The sequence below is a fragment of the Homo sapiens genome, chromosome 3 (genome assembly GCF_000001405.40).
Source record: "Homo sapiens chromosome 3, GRCh38.p14 Primary Assembly".
Lineage (NCBI taxonomy): Eukaryota > Metazoa > Chordata > Mammalia > Primates > Hominidae > Homo > Homo sapiens.
Window position 1 is genome coordinate 136,840,904 of NC_000003.12, and position 25,782 is coordinate 136,866,685.

At 42.8% G+C, this 25,782-nt stretch overlaps 2 protein-coding genes and 1 long non-coding RNA gene across 17 annotated transcripts in view, besides 5 other annotated features; 2 read left to right on the forward strand and 1 right to left on the reverse strand.

The window, feature by feature from the left end:
- SLC35G2 (solute carrier family 35 member G2) overlaps positions 1-14,985 on the forward strand; it is a 36,763-nt gene extending 21,778 nt beyond the window's left edge. For 7 of the 9 annotated variants that reach the window (XM_017007290.2, NM_025246.3, NM_001097599.2 and 4 more), the window contains exon 2: positions 13,540-14,985. In XM_017007290.2, coding sequence (XP_016862779.1) covers positions 13,558-14,796 — 1,239 coding nt within the window. In that variant the 5' untranslated portion in view covers positions 13,540-13,557 and the 3' untranslated portion in view covers positions 14,797-14,985. Of the gene's footprint in view, positions 1-8,593; positions 13,367-13,539 lie in introns of those variants that run through there. The other 2 variants (XM_006713773.5, XM_047449027.1) reach the window with 2 other exon arrangements.
- On the reverse strand, positions 1,073-21,160 carry NCK1-DT (NCK1 divergent transcript). Of its 3 annotated transcripts, NR_110175.1 has the most exons (4): positions 20,844-21,160; positions 17,615-17,700; positions 5,625-5,683; positions 1,073-1,666 (listed from the first exon to the last, which is right to left on the reverse strand). It is a non-coding gene; the product is annotated as an NCK1 divergent transcript (long non-coding RNA). The 3 variants fall into 3 exon arrangements; NR_110177.1 differs by lacking the exon at positions 17,615-17,700; NR_110176.1 differs by lacking the exon at positions 17,615-17,700 and having other exon boundaries at positions 20,712-21,160.
- Positions 20,234-20,283: an enhancer, noted in NCBI's record as "active region_20589". NCBI's record gives its function as "activates an Ori minimal core promoter by ATAC-STARR-seq in GM12878 lymphoblastoid cells {active_cell/tissue: GM12878}" and the evidence as "EXISTENCE:reporter gene assay evidence [ECO:0000049][PMID:35858748]".
- Positions 20,844-20,903: an enhancer, noted in NCBI's record as "active region_20590". NCBI's record gives its function as "activates an Ori minimal core promoter by ATAC-STARR-seq in GM12878 lymphoblastoid cells {active_cell/tissue: GM12878}" and the evidence as "EXISTENCE:reporter gene assay evidence [ECO:0000049][PMID:35858748]".
- Positions 21,264-21,323: a silencer, noted in NCBI's record as "silent region_14762". NCBI's record gives its function as "represses an Ori minimal core promoter by ATAC-STARR-seq in GM12878 lymphoblastoid cells {active_cell/tissue: GM12878}" and the evidence as "EXISTENCE:reporter gene assay evidence [ECO:0000049][PMID:35858748]".
- NCK1 (NCK adaptor protein 1) overlaps positions 21,305-25,782 on the forward strand; it is an 89,399-nt gene continuing 84,921 nt past the window's right edge. The window contains exons 1-2 of one of the 5 annotated variants that reach the window (XM_047448189.1): positions 21,305-21,416; positions 22,409-22,530. The gene's annotated coding sequence lies outside the window, so the exon portion shown is untranslated. Of the gene's footprint in view, positions 21,451-21,545; positions 21,849-22,242; positions 22,267-22,408; positions 22,531-25,782 lie in introns of those variants that run through there. The other 4 variants (NM_001291999.2, NM_006153.6, XM_024453538.2 and 1 more) reach the window with 4 other exon arrangements.
- Positions 21,964-22,043: an enhancer, noted in NCBI's record as "active region_20591". NCBI's record gives its function as "activates an Ori minimal core promoter by ATAC-STARR-seq in GM12878 lymphoblastoid cells {active_cell/tissue: GM12878}" and the evidence as "EXISTENCE:reporter gene assay evidence [ECO:0000049][PMID:35858748]".
- Positions 22,054-22,173: an enhancer, noted in NCBI's record as "active region_20592". NCBI's record gives its function as "activates an Ori minimal core promoter by ATAC-STARR-seq in GM12878 lymphoblastoid cells {active_cell/tissue: GM12878}" and the evidence as "EXISTENCE:reporter gene assay evidence [ECO:0000049][PMID:35858748]".

The window sequence follows — 25,782 nt, forward strand, 5'->3', positions numbered from 1 at the left end:
TGAGCCACTGTGCCTGGCCCTTTTTTTTTTTTTTTTTTTTCTTTTGAGATAGGGTCTCACTCTGTTTCCCAGGCTGGAGTATAGTGATGCGATTTTGTTTTTTTTTTTAAGGGACGGTTTCGCCATTTTGCCCAGGCTGGTCTTGAACTCCTGAGCTCAAAGTGATCTGCCCGCTTCAGCCTCCCAAAGTGCTGGGATTGCAGGCATGAACCACCATGCCCCACCCCTCCCCTGGTTCTTCTAAGCAAGAGGATGTATTTGCAAGATGGTTGGCAGGGTCAGGAGTGCAGTCAGTGGCTATGGAAATAAAAGTTAGTTGTTGCTATGGTAAAACAGAGCTGCACCCTATCTAAAGGATGGACACAACACCAAAACTAGATTCCGGAATGTAACAAACTTATCATTCCTCAGACTCTCAAAGTAAATTTTTTTCTCAAGAATAACAAGCTCATGGATAGAATGAAGGATTTCATATCCTACTAATTTTTGAGTCAGATATCAGTTCCCTACTGGCCAATAATGTGAATATAAATATCAGAGTCCAGCCGGACATGGTGGCTCATGCCTGTAATCCCAGCACTTTGGGAGGCCGAGGTGGGTGAATCACCTGAGGTCGGGAGTTCGAGACCAGCCTGACTAACATGGAGAAACCCCGTCTCTACTAAAAATATAAAAAAATTAGCCGGGCGTGGTGGCGCATGCCTGTAATCTCAGCTACTCAGGAGGCTGAGGCAGGAGAATTGCTTGAACCCAGGAGGCGGAGGTTGCGGTGAGCCGGCAAGGTGCCATTGCACTCCAGCCTGGGCAACAAGAGTGAAACTCCGCCTCAAAATAAATAAATAAATAAATAAATAAATAAATAAATAAATAAATATCAGAGTCCATTCCCAAGGATCCCCAAAATAACATTTTTAGCATAAATACCTAAGAGTCACCATCAGACAGCCATGTCCACAAATCGTGTGGAAAAACCCCAGTTTATATTCAATTGAAAGTCTAAAATTATATCCTTTTTACTCTGAAAAATCTAAAATGTGGAAGAGAATCACTTCTGACTAGTATAAACAAAAAGTAATAAGCAATCATTTTAATACAGGATTTAATAAGTTGTCTTAATATTTCTGATAAATATTCAGATGATTACTTTGAAGTATTTTGAAATAAAGATACTTTCCATATTTCATAAAGCTACTTTTAATATATTAACATTTATTGCTCTTGAGTTCAAAGTATATCTTATTCTAGCCACCAAAACATTTAGAAAATAGAAAAAAAGGTAAAAACTAATTTTTTTATCTCTTATATTTCAGACACTTAATACCCTTACCCCATTCACTGAATCCAATTTCATTGCTATTTCCTTGTTTTGTCCTTTTGAGTGGTTCGGGATCTGCTTCAAATGACAAAGAGATGTGAGTAATAGGGTTCAACGTCTTTCTTATTTTCAGATTTAAAGCTCTTCAATGATGTAGCTCAAAATGAAAGTTCTTTCAATCCAACAACTTTGCAGAGATGCTGATCCCTCTCCCAGGTGAATCCTGGCCAGGCCTTTCTGACAATCCTGGGATACCCTGGGGCCAGTATAGAGTTCAAGGGCAGACCAGACTGGGGGAGGGGTTCCTGAGGGACCTGGAACCAGCATCACCAGCACAGTCAGAATTGCAACCTAGTGGCAAAGATAACTGTGAGAACAATCTCAAAGGTGGGGCCAGGACAGAAATGGTAGAATAAATAGCAGAGCTTGTGATGGTTATTATAGGATGGGACAAAACTCAAGGAGCAGTTGTAGAATGCAGTTCAGGACCAAGTCATTATTTTTGTTTAATCAACTTTTATTAAATGTGCTCTGGGTGCCAGGAACGCAAATATGAATGAGAGCTCTCTTGCCATTATGGAATTCACAAAGGAGACTGTGACTTGGCATGTTCCCTTTAGATGGTGCCTGGATTTGTTGGAGGAGTGGACATGGCAGCTTAAATGAGCCCTCTTGGGCTGTGCACAACCCAGAAATTTCGAGGTGTGCCAGTGTGTCTGTCTAGTATCATTGTGGGAGGATGTAGAGTCATTCTATGATTGTTTCTGACATCTCTGTAGCTCTGAGTCTTCTTAGAAGGAGCACTTTAAAAATCAGAGTTCTGGGCCAGGCATGGTGGCTCATGCCTGTAATCCCAGCACTTTGGGAGGCCAAGGTGGGCGGATCATGAGGTCAGGAGATCAAGACCATCCTGGCTAACACGGTGAAACCCCGTCTCTACTAAAAATACAAAAAATTAGCCAGGTGTGGTGGTGGCCGCCTGTAGTCCCAGCTACTCGGGAGGCTGAGGCAGGAGAATGGCGTGAACCCGGGAGGCGGAGCTTGCAGTGAGCCGAGATCGCGCCACTGCACTCCAGGCTGGGTGACAGTGCGAGACTCTGTCTCAAAAAAAAAAAAAAAAAAAAAAAAAAAAATCAGGGTTCTGGCAGGGTGTGGTAGCTCAGGTGTGTAATCCCAGCACTTAGGGAGGCTGAGGTGGGCAGTTCACTTGAGGCCAGGAGTTCGAGACCAGCTTGGCCAATGTGGCAAAACCCTGTCTCTACTAAAAAAATACAAAAATTAGCCGGGTGTGGTGGCACACACCTATAATCCCAGCTACGTGGGAGGTTGAGGCAGGAGAATCCCTTGAGCCCAGGAGGTGGAGGTTGCAGTGAGCTGAGATTGCTCCATTGCACTCCAGCCTGGGCGACAGAGTGAGACCCTGTTTCAAAAAGGCTGGGCGCAGTGGCTCAAGGCTGTAATCCCAGCACTTTGGGAGGCCAAGGCGGGAGGATCACCTGAGGTCACAAGTTCGAGACCAGCCTGGCCAACATGGCAAAACCCTATCTCTACTTAAAAATAAAAAAATTAGCTGGGCATGGTGACGCACCCCTGTAGTCCCAGCTACTGAGGAAGCTGAGGCAGGAGAATCCCTTGAACCCAGGAGGTGGAGGTTGTGGTGAGCTGAGATTGCCCCACTGCACTCTAACCTGGGTGGCAGAGTGGGACTCTGTCTCAAAACAAAACAAAAAAATCAGAGTTCTGAGTGAATTTTACTACTTACCCTTTGCCCTTAGCCTAGCTGAGCCTAGATGAAGGTTTGAGTAGAAGTGATTGGGAGGTGGACAGGCTGTGCAAGTTATAAGAAAACAAATTTGCTGGCCGGGCACGGAGAGAATCAAGGAGAATTGCTTGAACCCGGGAAGCGGAGGTTGCAGTGAGCCGAGATTTCGCCACTGCACTCCAGCCTGGCGACAGAGTGAGACTCCGTCTCAAAAAGAAGAAAAAAACAGCCAGGCGCGGTGGCTCACACCGGTAATCCCAGCACTTTGGGAGGCCGAGGCGGGCGGATCATGAGGTAAGGAGATCGAGACCATCCTGGCTAACACAGTGAAACCCTGTCTCTACTAAAAATATAAAAAATTAGCTGGGTGTGGTGGCACGCGCCTGTAGTTCCAGCTACTCGGGAGGCTGAGGCAGGAGAATTGCTTGAACCTGGGAGGCAGAGGTTGCAGTGAGCTGAGATTGCGCCACTGTACTCCAGCCTGGGAGACAGAGCGAGACTCCGTCTCAAAAAAAAAAAAAAACAACAAATTTGTTGACTGGGCGTGGTGGCTCACACATGTAATCCCAGCACTTTGGGAGGCCCAGGCTGACTGATTGCATGAGGCCGTGAGTTTGAGACCAGCCTGGCCAACATGGCAAAAATCCTGTCTCTACAGAAAATACAAAAATTAGCTGGGCATGGTGGCTAACACCTGTAGTCCCAGCTACTCGTGAGGCTGAGGCACGAATTGCTTGAACCTGGGAGGTGGAAGTTGTAGTGAGCAGAGATTGGGCCACTGCACTCCAGCCTGGGCGACAGCAAGACTCTCTGTCTCAAAAAAAAAAAAAAAAAAAAAAAAAGAAAACAAGACAAAACATTCTTTCATGTACATTCAATGGAAAAACTTCAAAATTGTTATCTGTTTATTTTCACATATGTGGCATTTCCTGTGATTGTTATGAACCTAATCCTGTATAAGGGTAGTTTGTCATCCCATTTGCCTTTCAGCTTTCAGAGAGCTGAAGTTAATGTGTTCAAAGCCCTTGTTGGTTCCATATTAACTAGCCATTAAAAGTGATATTATGTAATTTTTAATGACATGGAAATGTTTACAATGTATTGTAAAATGGGGAAGTTATAAAATAGGATATAATGTTTGATATCATTTTTGTAAGAAAAATCTTACTGGAAGGGTCTGTAGTTGTCTCTGAATGGTAGGATTATGAGTGATTTTTATTTTCTTTGTTTTCCCACATTTCTAAATGTTCTATAATGAACATATATTGCTTTTGTAATAGGAATAAACAAAATGTTATTTATTTAGAGATCTGATGGTGGTAAATAAGCTCTTGGGTGAGAAGTTTATTCTGAGCAAGCTCAGATATGGAACCACTGGGAATTTCCTGATGTGGAATCACTGTGGATTTGCTGGTGATGGGACTTACTTGACTGGGCCAAAATGTGAGGCATGCACTGGGAAACTAGCAGGAAACTAGCACTTGAAACTCAGCCTGAAGATGCTGAAAGACATGTATTTCCAGCACCCTTTAGAATTGATTGAGAATAGTTTAATTCTCTAGTGGTTTAAAGCAGATACAAATTACTTAAGGAACAGCTGCAGTTATGCCCTAAAAATTTAATTTTTTTTTTTTTGAGACAGAGTCTCGCTCTGTCGCCAGGCTGGAGTCAGTGGCGCGATCTCGGCTCACTGCAATATCCGCCTCCCAGGTTCAGGCAATTCTCCTGCCTCAGCCTTCCAATTAGGTGGGACTATAGGTGCGCGCCATCACGTCTAGCTAATTTTTGTATTTTTAGTAGAGACGGGGTTTCACCATGTTGGCCAGGATGGTCTTGATCTCTTGACCTTGTGATCTGCCCGCCTCGGCCTCCCAAAGTGCTGGGATGACGGGCGTGAGCCACCGCACCCGGCCGTAAAAAAAAAAAAAAAAATTATGGTTACTTTTATGTGTCCACTTGGCTGGTCAAACATTATTCTGGATGTTTCTGTGAGAGTGTTTTTGGATGAGATTTACATTTGAAAGGGTGGACTTTGGAGAAAGCAAATTGCCTTCCATAATGTGGGTGGGCATCGTCCAATCAGTTGAAAGCCTGAATAGCACAAAAGACTGACCTCCTCCAAGCAAGAGGGAATTCTTTAGCCAACAGACTTTGGACTTAAACCGCAATATTGGCACTTCTCTGGACTAGCCTGCTACCCACTCTGCAAATTTTGGACATGCCGACGTGCCAGCCTCCATAATTCTGTATTACTTTTCTCAGCCATAGGAATGAGGTGGTCTCAGGCCTCATATTCTGGGATCTAGCTTGGGAAATAGTTCCTCTTTTGGATAAAAATAGTCATTTTAAGCTCTCCACACTGGATGTGCCCATTGTTCAAGCAGACACCAAACTGTGCATACTTTTAATTCATTTGTATCCACTATTTTTGGTGGAAACATTTGTAGCTAAGCAGGCTAGACTTCTGGTTCTATTTCATATTCCCTCTACTTAGCTGAGTTGCTCTGCACTGCTGAAGTAGACACCTCTGCCTTAGTGGGCACTTACCCCATGTGAATCCTTGTCAGAGGAACTGGAGCCATGATACTGGTTTAGAGCACTCGTCTCTGAGGAAGGAGGAAAAGTTGAGTTGGCACTTTGATCAGAATGACTTAGAGCAGATTGTAGAAAGTTACAGTGGCTAAACTACATAGTGGTCTTGCATTGGGAGAGATATCAAAACACTGTAAGTATGAAATCATTAAAAAGACAAACCGATTGTGAAGACGGTTATGTCAAAAGATCCCCAAAATTATCATCCAAAACACTTTCTCTTAAGACAGACAATAATTATTACTCTAGTTGGTGGCCAAGCCAGAACTCAAAATTTCTGAGTCTTAAATTTCTTATCTCTAAAATAAAATTTCCGGCTGGGCATGGTGGCTCACACCTGTAATCCCAGTACTTTGCGCTAAGGCGAGTGAATCACCTGAGGTCAGGAGTTTGAGACAAACCTAGCCAACATGGTGAAACCCCATTTCTACTAAAAATACAAAAATTAGCTGGGCGTGGTGGTGCATGCCTGTAATCCCAGCTACTCTGGAGGCTGAGGGAGGCTGAGGCAGGAGAATCACTTGAACCTGGGAGGTGGAGGTTGCAGTGAGCCAAGATCATGCCACTACATTCTAGCCTGGGCGACAGAGTGAGACTGTCTAAAAATAAATAAATAAATAATAAATAAATAAATAAATAAAATTTCCTAGTTTCCTGGGGCCACGTGAATACTGTTAGTTCCTGCCAAGGAGAGCTGCCTACTAGGCAAGAAGACCAAACAGCAAAAATCTGTGGACTCTAAGTCCCAAAATGTAAGGCTCTCCCACATAAGGGATTTGTGTACTGAGGAGGCCCTCCAGAATTTACCTGAGATAACTTACATTTGGATGCTTGCAACCAAGAGAATTTTGGTGGCCTATTAGAGTTAGCAGAAGACAACAAGCAAGGAGAGAATTCTAACGTATATCAGAATTAGGAGTTAATTTGAAACACAGAACCAGTAGGGGATTTATTATAAAGAACTGGCTTCATTGCACTCCAGCCTGGGCAACAAGAGTGAAACTCCATCTCAAAAAGAAAAAAAAAATTGGCTTATGTTCTTGTGGGGGCTGGATAAGCAAGTCTGAAGTCTGCAGGCAGTCATTCAGGAAGGGGAGATTTAAGGGCCAGCTGGGGCCGGGAGCAGTGGTTCATGCCTGTAATCCCAGCACTTTGGAAGGCTGAGGCAGATGGATCACTTGAGGTCAGGAGTTCGAGACCAGCCTGGCCAACATGGCGAAACCCCACCTCTACTAAAATACAAAAATTAGCTGGATTTGGTGGTGGCTGTGGTGGGTGCCTGTAATCCCAAGTACTCAGGAGGCTGAGGCAGGAGAATTGCTTGAACCTGGGAGGCAGAGGTTGCAGTGAGCCGGGATTGCATCACTACACTCCAGCCTGGGCGACAGAGCAAGACTCTGTCTCAAAACAAACAAAAACAAAACAAAAGAGAAAGAACTGGTTAGAACCCCATGAGCACAGGATAATGCTTGTTGTCCACAGGCAGTAAAGAAAAAATCATGAACAGGCTAGAATCCCAAGGGCATAAGCTGTTTGGAGTCTCTGAATTTAAGAAAGGCCTAAGCCCTCACCTTTAAAGGGCTCCCCTTATTAAGTCAGGCCTACCCAGGATAAAGTCAACAGATTAGGGGCTATTTATTTATCAACACATTTACAGCAAACAAAAGGGACTTTTATCACATCTGCAAAATCTCTTCACAACAGCAACTTAGATAGATTAGTGTTTGATTAAGTAAATTGGAAAATGTAGTTCAGCATATCATAGGCTGGGTGTGGTGGCTTATGCTTATAATCCCAGCACTTTGGGAGGCTGAGGTTGGTGGATCACTTGAGCCCAGGAGTTTGAGATCAGCCTGGGCAACATGGCGAAAACCCATCTCTACAAAAAATACAAAAATTAGGTAGGCGTGATGGCAGGCATCTGAAGCCCCAGCTACTTAGGAGGCTGAGGTGGGAGGATCACTTGAGCCAGCCATATTCACTGGGTGACAAAGTGAATCTGGGGTGACAAAAAGCCATCATAGTCATAAAAAAGAATGAAATTATGTCCTTTGCAGCAACATGGATAGAGCTAGAGGCTATTATCCTAAGTAAAATAACTCAGAAACATAAAATCAAATACTGCATGTTCTGTCTTACAAGCTCTTATTAGTGGGAGCTAAACAATTACACATAAAGATGGAAATAATAGACCCTGGAGACTCTGAAACGGGTTAGAGTAGGTGGGAAGAGAGGGTTAAAAAATTACCTATTGGGTGCAATGCTCACTATTTGGGTGATGGATACACCAGAATCCTAAACCTTACCATTACATAATATATACATGTAACGAACCGGGCACGGTGGCCTGTAATCTCAGCACTTTGGGAGGCTGAGGCAGGCGGATCACCTGAGGTAGGGAGTTCAAGACCAGCCTGACCAGCATGGAGAAACCCTGTCTCTACTAAAAATACAAAATTAGCCGGGCGTGGTGGCACATGCCTGTAATCCCAGCTATTTGGGAGGCTGAGGCAGGAGAGTCGCTTGAATCCGGAGGTGGAGGTTGTAGTGAGCCAAGATCATGTCATTACACTCCAGCCTGGGCAACAAGAACGAAACTCCGTCTCAAAAAAAAAAAAAGATTATATATACACACACACACACGTAACGAATCTGCACATGTACTCCCTGAACCTAAAAAAAAATTATGCAATTATAATAGTACCTAATTTTTATTGCGTGCTAAATATACAAGTTATGCCATTTAATTTATATATATTTTATCATTATACTTTGTAATAATCATAGGTAATAAGTATAATTATCTTTTATACATGTAGAAACTAAAGTTTATGAAAACGAAATCATGTACCCAAAGTCATGATTAATAAGTAAAGTTGAACCCAACTTTTTTTTTTTACTTTAAATCCTGTGCTTTTATTTATTTTTATTTTTTATTTTTGAGACAAGTTCTCTGTCTCCCAGGCTGAAGTGCAGTGGTGCGATCTTGGCTCACTGCAACCTCCGCCTCCTGGGTTCAAGTGATTCTGGTGTCTTAGCCTCCCAAGTAGCTGGGACTACAGGCATGTGCCACCACTCCCAACTAATTTTCTGTATTTTTAGTAGAGACGAGGTTTTACCATGTTGGCCAGGCTGGTCTCAAACCCCTGACCTCAAGTGATCCGCCTGCCTCAGCCTCCCAAAGTGCTGGAATTACAGGCATGAGCCACTGCACCTGGCCCATTGTTAGTTTTTAAAAATACAGGATTTAGGCTGGGCGTGGTGGCTCATGCCTGTGATCCCAGCACTTCGGGAAGCCGCGGCGGGCGGATCACTTGAGGTCAGGGGTTTGAGACCAGCCTGACCAACATGGTGAAACCCCGTCTCTACCAAAAAAATACAAAAATTAGCCAGGCGTAGTGGCACATGCCTATGATCCCAGCTACTGTGGAGGCTGAGGCAGGAGAATCTCTTGAAGCCGGGAGGTGGAGGTTGCAGTGAGCTGAGATCATGCCACTGCACTCCAGCCTGGGGGACAGAGCGAGACTCCGTCTCAAAAATAAATAAATAACTAAAAACAAACAAAAGCTAACCATGGAAAATGATATTGATGGATCCAAGTGATACAGTTTGTTTCAACATATTGAGATATTGGATCCTTTTAAATTCTTTGTACTGCTCATGACCAGTTGCCATACACCGCAGAATGTCAATTGCCTACAAGGTAAATTTCACATCGGTCGACTTACCCTCCTGTCACTCCTGATAATGCACTCATGGTTTATGGGTTGTTTTAGTAGTATGTGGTGAACTATAAACTGTTACAATGGGAGGAGTTTTTTTTTTAAACCTCTTAAAAGTTGATGTATATATATCCTTACCACTAAGCATATCTTTTCAATTAGGCATGTGGCAATTCCTTTCTTGATGTTTTTAGGGAAAATGAGCCAAATAATATTTTAAAAAATGTATAAGCCAAGCTGGTTTCTATCCTTTCTTCTATTAAACTCAGGATCACACAAGTAGGCATGAGTGTGCACAATATTTATGCCTTGCATTGTTCTGAGAATTAGTAAAAGAATATCTTGAAAGCATGATATAACTTTGTATTTGTATCCAAAAATATACAAAGTTGTTGAATTAAAAAAAAAAAATAATGCAGCTGGGCGTGGTGGCTCACGCCTGTAATCCCAGCATTTTGAGAGGCTGAGGCATGCTTATTGCTTGAACCCAGGAGTTTGAGACCATCGTGGGCAACATGGCAAAACCCTGTCTCTACAGAAAGTGTAAAAAACAGCCAGGAGGGGTGGTGTACAAGTGTCTTAGCTGAGGCTGAGGTGGGAGGATTGCTTGAGCCCTGGAGGTCGAGGCTGCAGTGAGCAGTGATCACGCCACTGCACTCCAGCCTGCGCAACGGAGTGAGACCCTGTCTCAAAATAATTATTATTTGACATACCAAATTTGGGCACAGTGACTAGAAACAAAATTCCACTGAGTTGAGACAGCTAGGTTACAAAATTATTAGATTACAAAATATTAGGTTAGAAGTACTACTGCAGATGTTTAAACAAGGAAGAAAAATACACAAGTGGCTAGAGGTGAGGAAAGGCCTGTCTCTAAAAGACAGAATTTGTACTGGGCCTTTAAAGATGAACAATGTTGGCCGGGCGCGGTGGCTCACGCCTGTAATCCCAGCACTTTGGGAGGCCGAGGTGGGCAGATCACAAGGTCAGGAGATCGAGACCGTCCTGGCTAATACGGTGAAACCCTGTCTCCACTAAAAAAAATACAAAAAATTAGCCGGGCGTGGTGGCGGGAGCCTGTAGTTCCCAGCTACTCGGGAGGCTGAGGCAGGAGAATGGTGTGAACCCGGGAGGTGGAGCTTGCAGTGAGCCGAGATTGTGCCACTGCGCTCCAGCCTGGGCGAAGAGTGAGACTCCGTCTCAAAAAAAAAAAAAAAAAAAAAAAAAGATGAACAGTGTTTACAAAGTTGGAGCAGAAGGGAAACTGGTGAGAATAAAAGCTTAGGGTATATATGGAGAATGAGGACAGGGAAGACACTGGACTGACTGCTCAGAGCAAGGTAGGCGTGTTGAAGACCTAAGTACTGATAGGAGCTAGATTAGCCAGGGTATTGAGAGCCTGGCAGAGGAGTTGAAATTTGATAAGGTAGAGATAGGAAATCACTGTAGGTTCTTGAATGGGGAAAGCTTGAGAAGTTTTTGTTTTTGTTTTGAGTCTTTTAAAGGAAGAGCAATGTGACAGTGGGATAATATAAATTTTAGAGAGGGACTGGGATTCAAGGGAGGCTAGTTAGGATGCTGTTGCAATATTCTAGATGGGAATTCACAATAACCCAAACCACAATTATAAAAGTTACATAGAATTGGAGGAGAAAGGGAAAAACAGGAATATTTCAAAGACAAAAACAGTAAGATTAGTGACCAAATGCAAGTAAGATGGCAGAAAAGATAATTCACAGTATTCCCTGATTTCTAGCTTGGGGAACTGGAAAAATTGTGGTATCACAGACATAAATGAGGACATTAGGGAAAAAAATCTATTTGGGAGAACAAGACTATTCAGTTTGGGATTGTTGAAGCTATGATTTGACATGTCCTGGCAAAAGTTGGAAATAAAGAACAGTCAGATTAGCCTGATAGTGGTGTGCAGGAAGAAGGACTGCAAATGGGACATCCAGGCTAGGAAATAGAAGGGTTTGGAGGCACAGGTGATATTTTTTTCATGACTTCTTCCAGCTGAAGGTGGTGCCTTTTAGAAAAGAAAGGAGTAAATAGGAATAGAACAGTTAGCTCCCCAGATGGTGTCGAAGAACAAAATGAGATTTTATTTCTGGGCCATTGTTTAAGATCCTGGAACCGATGAGTTTTTGGCAAGAAATCAGGGAGTCACGAGGAAGAAAAAAAAAGATTTTTTTTCTTTTTCTTTTTTTTTTTTTGAGATGGAGTCTTGCTCTGTTGCTGATGCTGGAGTGCAGTGGCACAATCTTGGCTCACTGCAACCTCCGTCTCCTGGGTTCAAGCAGTTCTCCTACCTCAGCCTCCTGAGTAGCTGGGATTACAGGCACCTGCCACCATTCCCAGCTAATTTTTGCATTTTTAGTAGAGACAGGATTTTACCATGTTGGCCAGGCAGGTCTCGAACTCCTGACCTCAGGTGATCTGCCTACCTCGGCCTCCCAAAGTGCTGGGATTACAGGCATGAGCCAGCGTGCCTGGTCTCTTTTTTGTTTTTTAAGCGGGAGGAGAGGATCATTGGGAGGGAAATAGGAAATTGTTGAAAGGAAGGAAAGAAAGAACCAAGTGAAAAAATAAAGGTCTAAAAGAAATAATAATATTGTAGAAGATACCCAGTGTTTCATAAAGTTGTTATAGGTGAAAGGAAGCCAAATTTATTGCTAACATTTATTGAGAGTTTACTATATGCCAGCACTGTGGCAAATTGTTTATATGCATTATTTTATTTAATTCTTACAGTAAGTTCAACTTTTTTTCCCACTTGACATTATATAGTGGACATCGTTTTTGTTTTGTTTTGTTTTGAGACAGAGTCTCGCTCTGTCACCCAGGCTGGAGTGCAGTAGCACAATCTTGGCTCACTGCAACCTCTGCTTCCTGAATTCAAGTGATTCTCATGCCTCAGCCTCCCGAGTAGCTGGAATTACAGACACATACCACCAGGCCCGGCTAAATTTAGTATTTTTAGTAGAAATGGCATTTCACCATGTTGGCCAGGCTGGCCAACTCCTCTCAAACTTCTGGCCTCAAGTGATCCGCCCGCCTCAGCCTCCCAAAATGCTGGGATTACAGGTGTGAGCCACCGTGCCTACACTGTCATTTTTAATAGATAGCATAGTATTCCATTGTATGAACATTCATTGTAGTAAGCTACAATGAACTCTCCTGTATGTACATTTTCCCCACATTTTTTGGTATATTCTTTTTCTTAAGTAACAGATAAACATTTTAATTCTATTTTTGGATAATATCACAATTCAAAAATAAAAATGTAAAAAAATAAATAACAAAAAGGTTTTCTTCCATTCTTGTTCCTCCTGTCACCTGAACCACCATTAGTTTTCTTGGCATCTTTATATAATTTCTTTGTTATGTAAACAAATATAAATACGTATTCTTATTCCCCCCCTTTTTTATTCAGAATGTAAAAAGCATCTTGTGATCATCTCTTTAGCATAAAATCTTAAAAGTGGTATTGCTGAGTAGAGGATAGTTAAAATCTTAATACATATGGTCCAACTGTTCACGAGAGAGGTTGTACAATTTAACCTTTCTACCAACAATGCATGAGTGTTACTAAATTCATGTTATTTATGTTCTAATTTCAGTGTATTTTTATATCTCAAAACTTATGGGGAGTCCAGAATAAATGTTTAAAAATCACTATAATTTATAAGGTGAATTCTGGTATTATACAGAATTGATTATACAAAATACTTTGGACTTAACTAATAATTTATAACAGGCAAATGGACCCAATGAGAAGGAAAGGTTTGACCTAAGTTATTATTTATCTTTCTGTGTTTTGCTTGTTGGATAGGTGGAGAAACAGGTAGGAATGAAAAGATGGAAAAATCCGTTTGTGGTATAAAGATAGAAGATAGAGCTGAATTAAACAAGTAAGCAAAGAGAAATGGAGACAGACTTCAGATGAGAGTGAAAAAAGGGTAAACAATTCCAGTAGGTACCATACATCTGATAAGGCATATTGCCAGATCATCTCTAATTTCTTTTTTTTCTGGACTACTGTTACAGCCTCTACTTTCTATCATTGAATTGATGCATATGATTATAATAGAAATTAAATTTTCAATGAAATGAATGTCTTTTTGTCAATTTTTTTCTTTAAATAGAATTGATTATCTGAAGAAATGGATACTTCTCCCTCCAGAAAATATCCAGTTAAAAAACGGGTGAAAATACATCCCAACACAGTGATGGTGAAATATACTTCTCATTATCCCCAGCCTGGCGATGATGGATATGAAGAAATCAATGAAGGCTATGGAAATTTTATGGAGGAAAATCCAAAGAAAGGTCTGCTGAGTGAAATGAAAAAAAAAGGGAGAGCTTTCTTTGGAACCATGGATACCCTACCTCCACCAACAGAAGACCCAATGATCAATGAGATTGGACAATTCCAGAGCTTTGCAGAAAAAAACATTTTTCAATCCCGAAAAATGTGGATAGTGCTGTTTGGATCTGCTTTGGCTCATGGATGTGTAGCTCTTATCACTAGGCTTGTTTCTGATCGGTCTAAAGTTCCATCTCTAGAACTGATTTTTATCCGTTCTGTTTTTCAGGTCTTATCTGTGTTAGTTGTGTGTTACTATCAGGAGGCCCCCTTTGGACCCAGTGGATACAGATTACGACTCTTCTTTTATGGTGTATGCAATGTCATTTCTATCACTTGTGCTTATACATCATTTTCAATAGTTCCTCCCAGCAATGGGACCACTATGTGGAGAGCCACAACTACAGTCTTCAGTGCCATTTTGGCTTTTTTACTCGTAGATGAGAAAATGGCTTATGTTGACATGGCTACAGTTGTTTGCAGCATCTTAGGTGTTTGTCTTGTCATGATCCCAAACATTGTTGATGAAGACAATTCTTTGTTAAATGCCTGGAAAGAAGCCTTTGGGTACACCATGACTGTGATGGCTGGACTGACCACTGCTCTCTCAATGATAGTATACAGATCCATCAAGGAGAAGATCAGCATGTGGACTGCACTGTTTACTTTTGGTTGGACTGGGACAATTTGGGGAATATCTACTATGTTTATTCTTCAAGAACCCATCATCCCATTAGATGGAGAAACCTGGAGTTATCTCATTGCTATATGTGTCTGTTCTACTGCAGCATTCTTAGGAGTTTATTATGCCTTGGACAAATTCCATCCAGCTTTGGTTAGCACAGTACAACATTTGGAGATTGTGGTAGCTATGGTCTTGCAGCTTCTCGTGCTGCACATATTTCCTAGCATCTATGATGTTTTTGGAGGGGTAATCATTATGATTAGTGTTTTTGTCCTTGCTGGCTATAAACTTTACTGGAGGAATTTAAGAAAGCAGGACTACCAGGAAATACTAGACTCTCCCATTAAATGAATACCTGATTATTATTGTCTCATTAATGTTCAGTTATTATGTATACTGCCATTTTAATGTTTACCTATGAATGTCTTTTGTGTTATATAACTGACAGAGTGCTATAAAATATATAATATATACAAATGCAGAAAATTTATTCTAGTCTAATATATTCAAATACAAATATTAAATATATGAAATACGTTATGAATCTGGTATCTTTATTGGTATTTATGGGTGTCTTTCCAGGTAAATTGTAGTAGAAGGAGAATGTTAACTGCTATTACTAAATAATAGAAGACTCAAAGAAATGACCCCTTTCAGATGGAACTGAAGTTCAAAAATTAGAAATGTTCTACAAATGTTCAACAAAACTCCTTCATTTGTGAAAAATACACTATAAGGTGAAATGTTGAACACCAAACCCTGTTTTGTCATCTACTTGCATTAGAAAACTAGAAGTCATAGGGCTGGGTAAAGGAGCCTGGGTTGAGGCAAGAAAAGAGGAAAGAAGGGAAAATAAGTGGTTTTTTAATGACAATGGGTGGCTGTCCAAAGTTAGAACAGGAAATTGGTTTTCTCCTTATTATGAGCACATTAGGCGATACATAGGAAATAGAAATAGGGAGAAGTGTGGATTCTTGCCAGTCCTACCTAGCCCATGCCATTTTGTCCCTGATGTTTGGAGACCTAACGTTGGGGTAGGGTCTGCTTATCCTCAGTTATGTAGATCTCTTCCAAGGCTGCCCTTGTTTATGATTTTGTGGCTAGTGTATGTGTGAGCTGCAGTAAAAGTACTCCTTACTCCTGAAAAAGGCACCAACAGTAATCATAATGTAGCAGAAAATTGACATGGTATCCTGAGATTCTTTTCAAAAAGGTCTAAAAGTCTGTAAAAGCACATATGATGGCATTAAGTCTAATTTTGGCCATTCTTACCAATTTAGCACAAATAAATGATATGGTACTGTTTATTAAACTATTGTCTCAGGTCCACATTCCCCCTTCTATACATTTCTCTGTAATGCTGTGGCTCAAACCCTGCAAACTACATTTTTTTCTATGTCAGCTGGTGTCTCACTAGGTTCCATCAATAAAGGGCATTAGAGGGAGACTGGAAGGCAGAAGGGAAGAAGGGACTTCCTCCTTTCCATTTGTTTGCAGTTTCTGTCACTGTTATCCCAGCAACAAGCAAGAGCCCTTTGCTCCAGCAGCAGCAATTGATTTCAGCCTTGAGCTTCTTTTGACATCCTCCCCATCCACAACTAGCCTCATCATATCCTTCCCTGAAGTAGTAGGATCAGCCAGACAGCATCCTCTCAGGGGTCTGAGCAATACTCAGCCAGGTCATTTGTCTGAGTTTCTGAGACCTGATAATCCACCTTGAGTCCCCATTTTCACTAGATCTATCATTGACAGCTGCTCCCTGCAGTTATCACCTCTGGGTAACCTCAGTGTTCCGTTTTTGCTTTTTCAGTCAATGAAAACTCAATACTAAATCCTCTCTGTAGTAATATCATCTAATTTCTGATTTCCTGACTAACATATCTCTAAACCTTCCCCAAAGGAAACTACAGCCATCAGCAGGGTACTGTGCTTTGGGAAAATGTCAACATTTAGATTTTTTCAGGGATTACTAGACAGTGGCTCTCAATAGAAATTATACAAACTGAAAAAAGAATGAACAGAGCCTGAATGACCTGTACTAAGTACTGAGAAGTCTAGCATGAGTGTAATTGTAGTCCCAGAAGAAGAGGAGAAACAGAATGGGACAGAAAAAAAAATTTGAAGAAATACTGGACAAAAGTCTTCCAAATTTGATAAAAAAAAAAAAAGAAAAGAAAAGAAAATGAGAAACCAGCAATCCACAGACCCAGGGAATGAAATGAACCCCAAGCAGGATAAATACAAAACCAAAACCAAAACAAACATCACAGTGTAATGAAACATCACAGTGTAATGAAACATCACAGTGTAACTTTTGATAAATATAATGAAAATCTTATAAGCATTCATAGAAAAAGACACCTAGAAACATCAGTGTTAACTTTTGATAAATATAAACAAAATCTTAAAAGCATTCATAGAAAAAGGCATAAGACATACAAGAAAACAATGATAAGAATTACAACTAGTTTCTCACAGATATAATGGAGGCTGGAAAACGAGAATGACATCTTTAAAGTGCTGAAAACAAAAACAAAAACCCTTTGAATGGCTTCTCATTGCCTATAGGATAAACTCTAAGGTGCCTGACTTCCATAACCTGGTTATTGATTATATTTCTAGCTATCTTCTGCTCTAGCAATATTCTACTATCGTTTAATACCTTTTTATTATGCAGGCTCCTCTATGTGGACAGATTTTTTCTAGTTAATTGCCTGACTAACCTGGCCACACAACTCCTTTCCCCTGTGGCTTAATGTCCTCCTTGCACTGGACTGTCTATAACAATTTCTAACTATAAGCTATCAGGTTTCTGGGAAAGGTCTTGACATGGAGGCTCATTTTTCCCTTTCTTGTGTTCCCAAATTCTTTTATTTTGGATTAATAAAGTAAGCCACCTGCGTGTTTTTAATCATAGACAGATTAGCTGCCCATATCCAAAGCTCCACGTGTAGTCCCTAGATAAGTTTTGTTTTTGTTTTGAGATGTGGTGTGATCATAGCTCATTGCAGCCTCAAATTCCTGGGCTCAAGCCATCCTCCCACCTCAGCCTCCAGAGTGGCTGGGACTACAGGCACATGCCACTATGCCCAGCTGATTAAAAAAAATTTTGTTTTGTAGAGACAGGGTCTAGCTCTGTTGCCAGGGCTGATCATAAGTTTTGACTTACATTTTCTTGTTGCCTGATTCTGGTTAGTCCCTGATCCACTCAGCACTAATTAGCAAGGATGATTCCTGTTTTTGGTTTGAGTTCCCCTGAAAGAGAGGAAGCAGCAGCCATGTGCATGTTTATATTTGGAAGCTGGGGAGACAGACTGTGTGAAAGGAAGTCTCTGGGACAGCTCCCACCCCATTAAAACATGTACTGCATCCCTTCTAAGTGCAATTACATACATGCCTTTCTGCCTATCTGCCCTTCCAGTCTATGCTTTCCTTTTTCATTGCTGTTTGCTTATTTTTCTTCTTTGACTCCTCTTTTGCATATATTTTTGGAGGTTTCTTAAATTTTTTTAAAGAGTTCCTGTTAAGAATGAGTGATGAGAAAGATTAAAGAAGGAAAATTAAGAGGATAAACTAGCTGGGTGCTGTGGCTCACGCCTGTAATCCCAACACTTTGGGAGGCTGAGGTGGGTGGATCACCTGAGGTCAGGGGTTTGAGACAAGCCTGGCCAACATTGTGAAACCCCGTCTCTACTAAAAATACAAAAAATTAGCCAGGTGTGGTGGTGTGTGCCTGTAGTCCCAGCAACTTGGGAGGCTGAGGCAGGAGAATTGCTTGAACCCGGGAGGTGGAGGTTGCAATAAGCTGAGGTGGTGCCACTGCACTCCAACCTGGGCAAAAAAGCGAGACTCCATCTCAAAAAACAAACAAACAAACAAAAACCCTAAATGTATGACTTCAGCATACTTTTTGCTGGGTTAATTTTCCCCACTTAAGGTGGTGGTAAGCTACATGAAGGCAAGAACTGTATTTCTGTATTTTACCTGTTGTATTTATATTCACACCTTCTGCCTCCATCGTATGTTAAATATGTAATTAGAATTAAAATTGAGTCACGCTGTGCTAACAGTTTGATGGGTGATTTTGCAGCAACAGTTTTAACTCTGGACAAGTTTCTTCAAAAATGAATATAATATCTCAGTCTGTAAACTTTATAAAATGTATCAACAAATAAAACCATTGTATTAGCTTGGGCTGCCATAATAAAATACTAGATTGGGTGGCTTACACAACAGAAGTTTATTTTTTCAAAGTTATGTAGGTTGGGAGGTCCAAAAGAGGGTGCCAGCATGGTCAGTTTTGGGTGAGGGCTCTCTCTCTGGCTTGCAGATGTCTGTCTGCTTGCTGTGTTCTCAAATGGAGAGAGCTCTCTGGTGCCACTTTCTATAAAGACATTAATCTTATGGGATTAGGGCCCCACCCTTATGACCTAATTTAATTTTTATTACCTCCCTAAAGGCCTAGCTCCAACTAGAGATGGTCCCTGACTTAAGATTTTTTTGACTTTATGATGGTCCAAAAGCCATATGCACTCTAGAATCTGTACTTTGAGTACCCATAAAACCATCCAGTTTTTCATTCAGTATTTAGTAGATTACATGAAATACTCAATACTTTATTAAAAAATAAGCTTTGTATTAGATGATTTTGCCTAACTGAAAGCTAATGTAAGTATTCTGAGCATGTTTTAGGTAGGCTACTCTAAGCTATGATGTTTGGTAGGTTAGAAGCATTAAATGCATTTCTGACTTAAGATCTTTTCAACTTAAGGTATTTTCAGTTTATGGTGGGTTTATTGGAACATAACCCCTTTGTAAGTTAAGGAACATTTATATAGTCACATTAGGAGTGAGGGCTTCAGTATGAATTTTTGGGGGGGATGCAATTCAGTCCATACCAGTCATGATAAAATATGCAGTTATTTAAACCCTTAGAATAAACTCAAAATTCACCGCCATTATTCACTTTGGATGCTAATAACAGAATGTAGACATAGAGTAGCTGTTGCCCAGTTTCATGGTCTACTTGTCCCAGTCAACCTGAGGATAGTACAGCATAAATAGGTAAATTTGTGCTTGACCTTGTGATCCTACATATGGCAGGCTGTCTTAGTCCCTTTAGTGTTGCTAGAAAGGAATACCCAAAGCTGGATAATTTAGAAATAGAAAAGGTTTTTCGGCTTATGGTTCTGATGTCTGGAAAAGTTCAAGACTGAGCATCTGCATCTGATGGTAGCCTAAGACTGCTTCTACTCATGCCAGAAGGCAAAGGAGAGCTGGTGTGTGCAGAGATTACATGGCCAGAGAGGACGCAAAAGAAGAAAGGAAGTGCGACGTTCTTTTTAACCAGCTCTGGTGGAAATAAAGAGAACTCATTTACCCTCTCCCCAGGGAGGACATTAATCTATTCCTGAAGGAACCACCTCCATGACCCAACACTGCCCATTAGTCCCCACCTCCAACATTGGGGATCAAATTTCAACAGGAGGTTTAGGGGAACAAACATCTAAATTACAGCACAGGCCAACCACATGCATGCATTACCAATCACGTAAATAATTTTGAAGTTAAATGCAGAAAACTGCAAACTTTTGAGGCTGATATCCAGGGCCAGGATTAAAATAAAAAGTATTAATGCCTTAAACAGTATTTACTGACCATCTACCCTACTGCAAGGCCCTAGGGAGAAACTGAACAGACATGGTTACTGATTCAACGGAGTTTACAATCTAGGTAGACATACAGGCAAACCATTTCAATAGCTCGGATGGAGAAAACACCTGTGCTCCAAGGAAGGTACCTAACTGAGCAAGCTTCCCTGAGGAGCGATCCTAAACTGTGCCACAAAGATGGTTAAGAAGAGATGAGGCGGCTGGGCGTGGTGGCTCACGCCTGTAATCCCAGCACTTTGGGAGGCCGAGGCTGGCGAATCACGAGGTCAAGAGATCGAGACCATCCTGGTGAAACCCCGTCACTGCTAAAAATACAAAAACATTAGCTGGGCGTGGTGGTACATGCCTGTAATCCCAGCTACTCGGGAGGCTGAGGCAGGAGAATAGCTTGAACCCGGAGGCGGAGGTTGCAGTGAGCCGAGATCGTGCCACTGCACTCCACCCTGGCGACAGAGCGAAACTCGTTTCAAAAAAAAAAAAAAAAGAGGCAGGTTACGGCGCGGGGGCGGGGAAGGGGGCCTGCAGCACCGGCGAGGGGAAGAACCAACTTACTGATGCCTCAGCCAGTGGCTGGAGCCCTAAGAATGGACAGACCTGGCTCCGAAGGTCCTCTTCATAACACTACTGCCGCCAAGAATGTAAGCTGCCCAAGCACGAGGACACTTTTAGAGGGCCCTCAGACTCAGCTTCTTTTGGTCTGTGCCTCAAATTAAGCACATGTCTTACATTTCTCCCAGGTCCCAATTTTCAGGTCTGCTTTTCTTTGTTTTTCTTTGTCGCTCCCCGCTCCTAAGAACCTTCGGCTGGGATGACATTCTTCAGGTGCAGAAACCAGGGGGAAGCTCCCAGAGCAGTGGGGGCTGAACTCAGGACACAGTCATTTTTGCTGTTAAGTCTCTCCTGCGGCGCTGAGGAGGCAGGCTCAAAGTAACCAACCAGAGCAGCCGCAGAGGGAAAAGCTAAGACAGTTCTGGTCCGGCCCAGCGCTTCTCACCCTCTAGCTCTCTACTCTCCGCCGCGCAGCCTCCGCTCCCTCCACATCAGGCACGGCGCTTGATTGACATGAGGGCCCGCCCAATCCCAGTGCGGCAGAGACCGTTGTCGCGTCAGGGACCGGGGAAGGGGGCGACTGAACCTATCAGATTGGGTCCAGAGTGGGTTTCCTGCCCGCGCGGATCCGCCTGCCCACCGCGCGTGCCCCGCCTCTCTCCCAAGAGCTACGCGGCGGCGGCGGAGCGCAGGCCTCGTGCCGTTACGGCCATCACGGCGGCCGCAGTGGCGTCCTGGAGCCCTCCTCAGGTGAGCTGGAGCTGCCCGGCTCGGCAGCGGGAAGGTGAGACGGCCTTGTTGGCAGGCAGACACACACACACCCCCCTTCAGTCCGCTGTCCGTCCATACAGCCTGTTACTCGCTGCGTCGCTTCCTCTTCTCGCGCTGAGTTAGCCCCGGGGGCGCCGTCTGCAGGCTCGGAGCCGAGCCGGAGGGGGCGCGGAGGCTGCTCGGAGGGTCCAGACTTCTGCACCGGGATTCCGCGAGACCCTCGGGCCGTTGCCCCAGGGAGCGTGACCCCGCGGCCTCCTTGTCAGCCCCTGGAGCGCTGTGTCGGGCTGAGAGCCCGGGCGGCCGCCCGTGCGAGCCTGGGAGGTCGAGTGTGCGGCGCGCTGGTTGACTTGTCTGTTTTCTCATGAAAAAGTCCTTTTGCCAGCTGTGGCGTAATCCGAGGCCGGGAAGGTAGGGACGTGGTAGGAGGAAGGGCGCTCTCACCTCCAGCCCGAGAGGAGGGGAGGCGTCAGCCTGCGCGGTGCTGCGGGTGGACATCTTCGGGACGCGCCCTCTCCCCTCCCCCCACCCACCGGCCGTTTTCTAGTCTGGGGCTGTGACTTTAATGGTCTGGACCTGCTTCAGATTCGTACGCGAGTTGCTGGGGCTGTGAACTTTTGACTTGAGTTGTAATATGTTTGGTAAAACAAAAAACCATTTCGATAGGTTTTGTAACCTTTCTTCTGTATTAACATACAAGTTAAATTCGCCGTTAGAAGCTCAGGAAGCTGGGTTTTGTTCAGGGGTGAGGACGTAACCGTAGGAACGCTCTCGGTGTCAAACTGATGGACCCGGAGTCACCTGAAAATAATTATGCACGTTAGATTAGGTAAGAAGCCCTAGAAATTAGGAAAGAATTAGGTTAAAGAGAATTTCCTAACTCCTCTTTGGGTAGGGAGCAAAGCAGCTCAATGTCCTCCCAAAACGGGTGTTGCCAAAAGGTACTCATTTTTAAAATTTTACTTTGATAGACGTATGACAAACCAACTATAACGATTTCTTCAGCACCTGGAAACCAGTGTGCCTAGACTCTCAGCCTTCGGCGAGGTCACACAGTAAACGGAGAAATAACCTAAGAAGAAAGTTTTGTTTGGTAATTGTCAATAATATTCGTTCTTTTCTTTTTAAAACACTTAATTTTCTTGTGGGGGGTGGAGTCTGTGATATTCTTAAATAGGCATCCCATTCACAACTTGATAGTAATATGCACTGGTTGATAAATGGTGCTTTCTTTTCATCTTGACCACAAACTCTGAGACTTCTTTGGGAAAATTGTGATCTGTGGAAATTGGCTGTAATATCCATAAACATAGTTTGCAGAGTGTTCACATCTACTCAGCTGTTGGCTCATGTATTAAATTTTAAAATGTGTACTTATTTTTCTAGGCATTATCTTTTGTCCAGGTTTTGACAGTGCTTTCAGGTCCATCTAAATAAAATTTGAAACCTACGTGTAATGTTTTGTTCGATACTGAGGGAGTCCAGGCGGGGTAGCTCAAACCTGTAATCCCAGCACTTTGGGAGGCTGAGGCGGGCGGATCACGAGGTCAGGAGATTGAAACCACCCTAGCAGACACGGTGAAACCCCGTCTCTACTAAAAATACAAAAAAGTAGCCGGGCGTGGTGGCGGGCGCCTATAGTCCCAGCTACTCGGGAGGCTGAGGCAGGAGAATGGCGTGAACCCGGGAGGCGGAGCTTGCAGTGAGCCGAGATCGCGCCACTGCACTCCAGCCTGGGCGACAGAGCGAGACTCCGTCTCAAAAAAATAAATAAAATGTGTATTTATTTTTCTAGGCATTATCCTTTGTCCAGGTTTCTGCAGTGCTTTCAGGTCCATCTAAATAAAATTTGAAACCTACGTGTAATGTTGGCCGGGCTCGGTGGCTCACGCCTGTAATCCCAGCACTTTGGGAGGCCGAGGCAGGCGGATCACGAGGTCAGGAGATCGAGACCAGCCTGGCCAACACGGTGAAACCGCGTCTCTACTGAAAATACAAAAATTATCCGGGCGTGGTGGCACGCACCTGTAATCCCAGCTACTCGGGAGTCTGAGGCAGGAGAATTGCATGAACCCGGGAGTCGGAGGTTGCAGTGAGCCAAGATCGCCACTGCACTCCAGCCTGGCAACAGAGCAAGATTCCGTCACACACACACAAAAAAAAAACAGAAACAAAAAAAACCTATGTGTAATGTTTTGTTAGATACTGAGGGAGACCAGGCGGGGTAGTTCAAGCCTGTAATCCCAGCACTTGGGAGGCCAAGGCGGGAGGATAGCTGGAGGCCAGGAGTTTGAGATCAGCCTAAGCAATGTAGTGATACCCTGTCTCTAAATTAAGAAAATATAAAAAAATTTAAAAAGGAAAATAATAAAGAAAAGAGATACTTAGTGATACTTCATGGTTCTGGGTTTTTTTCTTTTCTTTTTTTTTTTTTTTTTTGAGACAGAGTCTCTGTTGCCCAGGCTGGAGTGCAGTGGCACGATCTTGGCTCACTGCAACCTCTGCCTCCCGGGTTCAATCGATTCTTGTGCCTCGGCCTCCTAAGTAGCTGGGACTACAGGTGTGTGCCACCATGCCTAGCTAATTTTTTTGTATATATATATATTTTTCTTTTTCTTTTGTTTGTTTTTTTTTTTGAGACGGAGTCTCACTCTGTTGCCCAGGCTGGAGTGCAGTGGCGGGATCTTGGCTCACTGCAACCTCTGCCTGCCGGGTTCAAGCAATTCTCTGCCTCAGCCTCCCCAGTAGCTGGGATTACAGGCGCCTGCCACCACGCCTGACTAATTTTTGTATTTTTAGTAGAGGCAGGGTTTCACCATCTTGGCCAGGCTGGTCTTGAACTCCTGACCTCGTGATCCACCTGCCTCGGCCTCCCAAAGTGCTGGGATTACAGGCATGAGCCACCACGCCCGGCCTGTATTTTTAGTAGAGACGGAGTTTCACCATGTTGGCAAGGCTGGTCTCGAACTCCTGACCTCAAGCAATCTGCCCACCTCCGCCTCCCAAAGTGCTGAGATTACAGGTGTGCGCCACCGTGGCTGGCCTATATTCATTTTTCAAAAATTTTCTAGAGTTTTACATTTTCATTGCTTTGTACTTTTACTTTGTCTTATTTTACTTTTTCACCATGTGTTTTTCAAAGCTGAAGGTATATTTGATGTGATTATTATAAATCACTTGTCAGGAAGACTTGACTTAATGAATACAGATACAGTTCATTTTTAAAATCATGGTTTAATAATTTTTAGAATTTACCTTTATAATATAGAAAAATACCAAATGTTCTTTATCTGCACTAGAAAATTAAATGATTATTTCATTAATAAGTAAAATTGAAGGGAACTTTTGAAATCACTGAGCAGTTAACAAATTCTCTATAAATACTGTGATGTTAGGAAGACAACAAGGCTAAATATGACATTTAAAGATTTAAGGAAACTTTATGTCTGGCTGATCCTCACCTTAAACTCTAATGAAGATAGAATTTATAGTCTTCCCTTCAAAACTGATTCCATATGCTGACTTTGTTTTGGTGACATTACCATGCTTTCAATTACCCAGACACAAACTTTGGTTTTATCTCTATGCGTGTAACAATATTGGCTGATTTTTGCCAGCCATTTTTATCTTTGAACTACTCACTAGCCTTTAATTGGGTTTTTTGCTTGATTTTTCTCTCTACTTAGTATGTCTTCCTAAATCTTAGAATTATGCTTCAAACACATCCTTCACTTTTCGGAAACCAGTGATAACTCTCTGTTATCTTCAGAGTATAGTTCAGAATTCATAGCCTAATAACAGTCTGCTCAAACCTGTTTTTCTGGGGCCAGCACTATTTCTTTCTTTTTTTTTAATCAGTGCCAGCACTATTTCTTTATAGGAGCTGTCCACTCTAACCAAACCAATCTCTGATTCTTATTTACTCTTTGTATTTTTGTACCTTCGTATCATTCCTTTTTCTTTCTTTCTTTCTTTTTTTTTTTTTGAGACAGAGTCTCGCTCTGTTGCCCAGGCTGGAGTGCAATGGTGCGATCTCGGCTCCCCGTAACCTCTGCCTCCCGGGTTCAAGCGATTCTCCTACCTCAGCCTCCCTAGTAGCTGGGACTACAGGCATGCGCCACCATGCCTGGCTAATTTTGTATTTTTAGTAGAGACGGGGTTTCTCCGTGTTGGTCAGGCCAGTCTTAAACTCCTCACTTCAGGTGATCTACACATCTCAGCCTGCCAAAGTGCTGGGATTACAGGTGTGAGCCACTGTGCCTGGCCTCTTTCTTTCTTCTTTTTTTTTTTCTTTGAGGCGTCTCACTCTGTCACCCAGGCTGGAGTGCAGTGGCACCATCTTGGC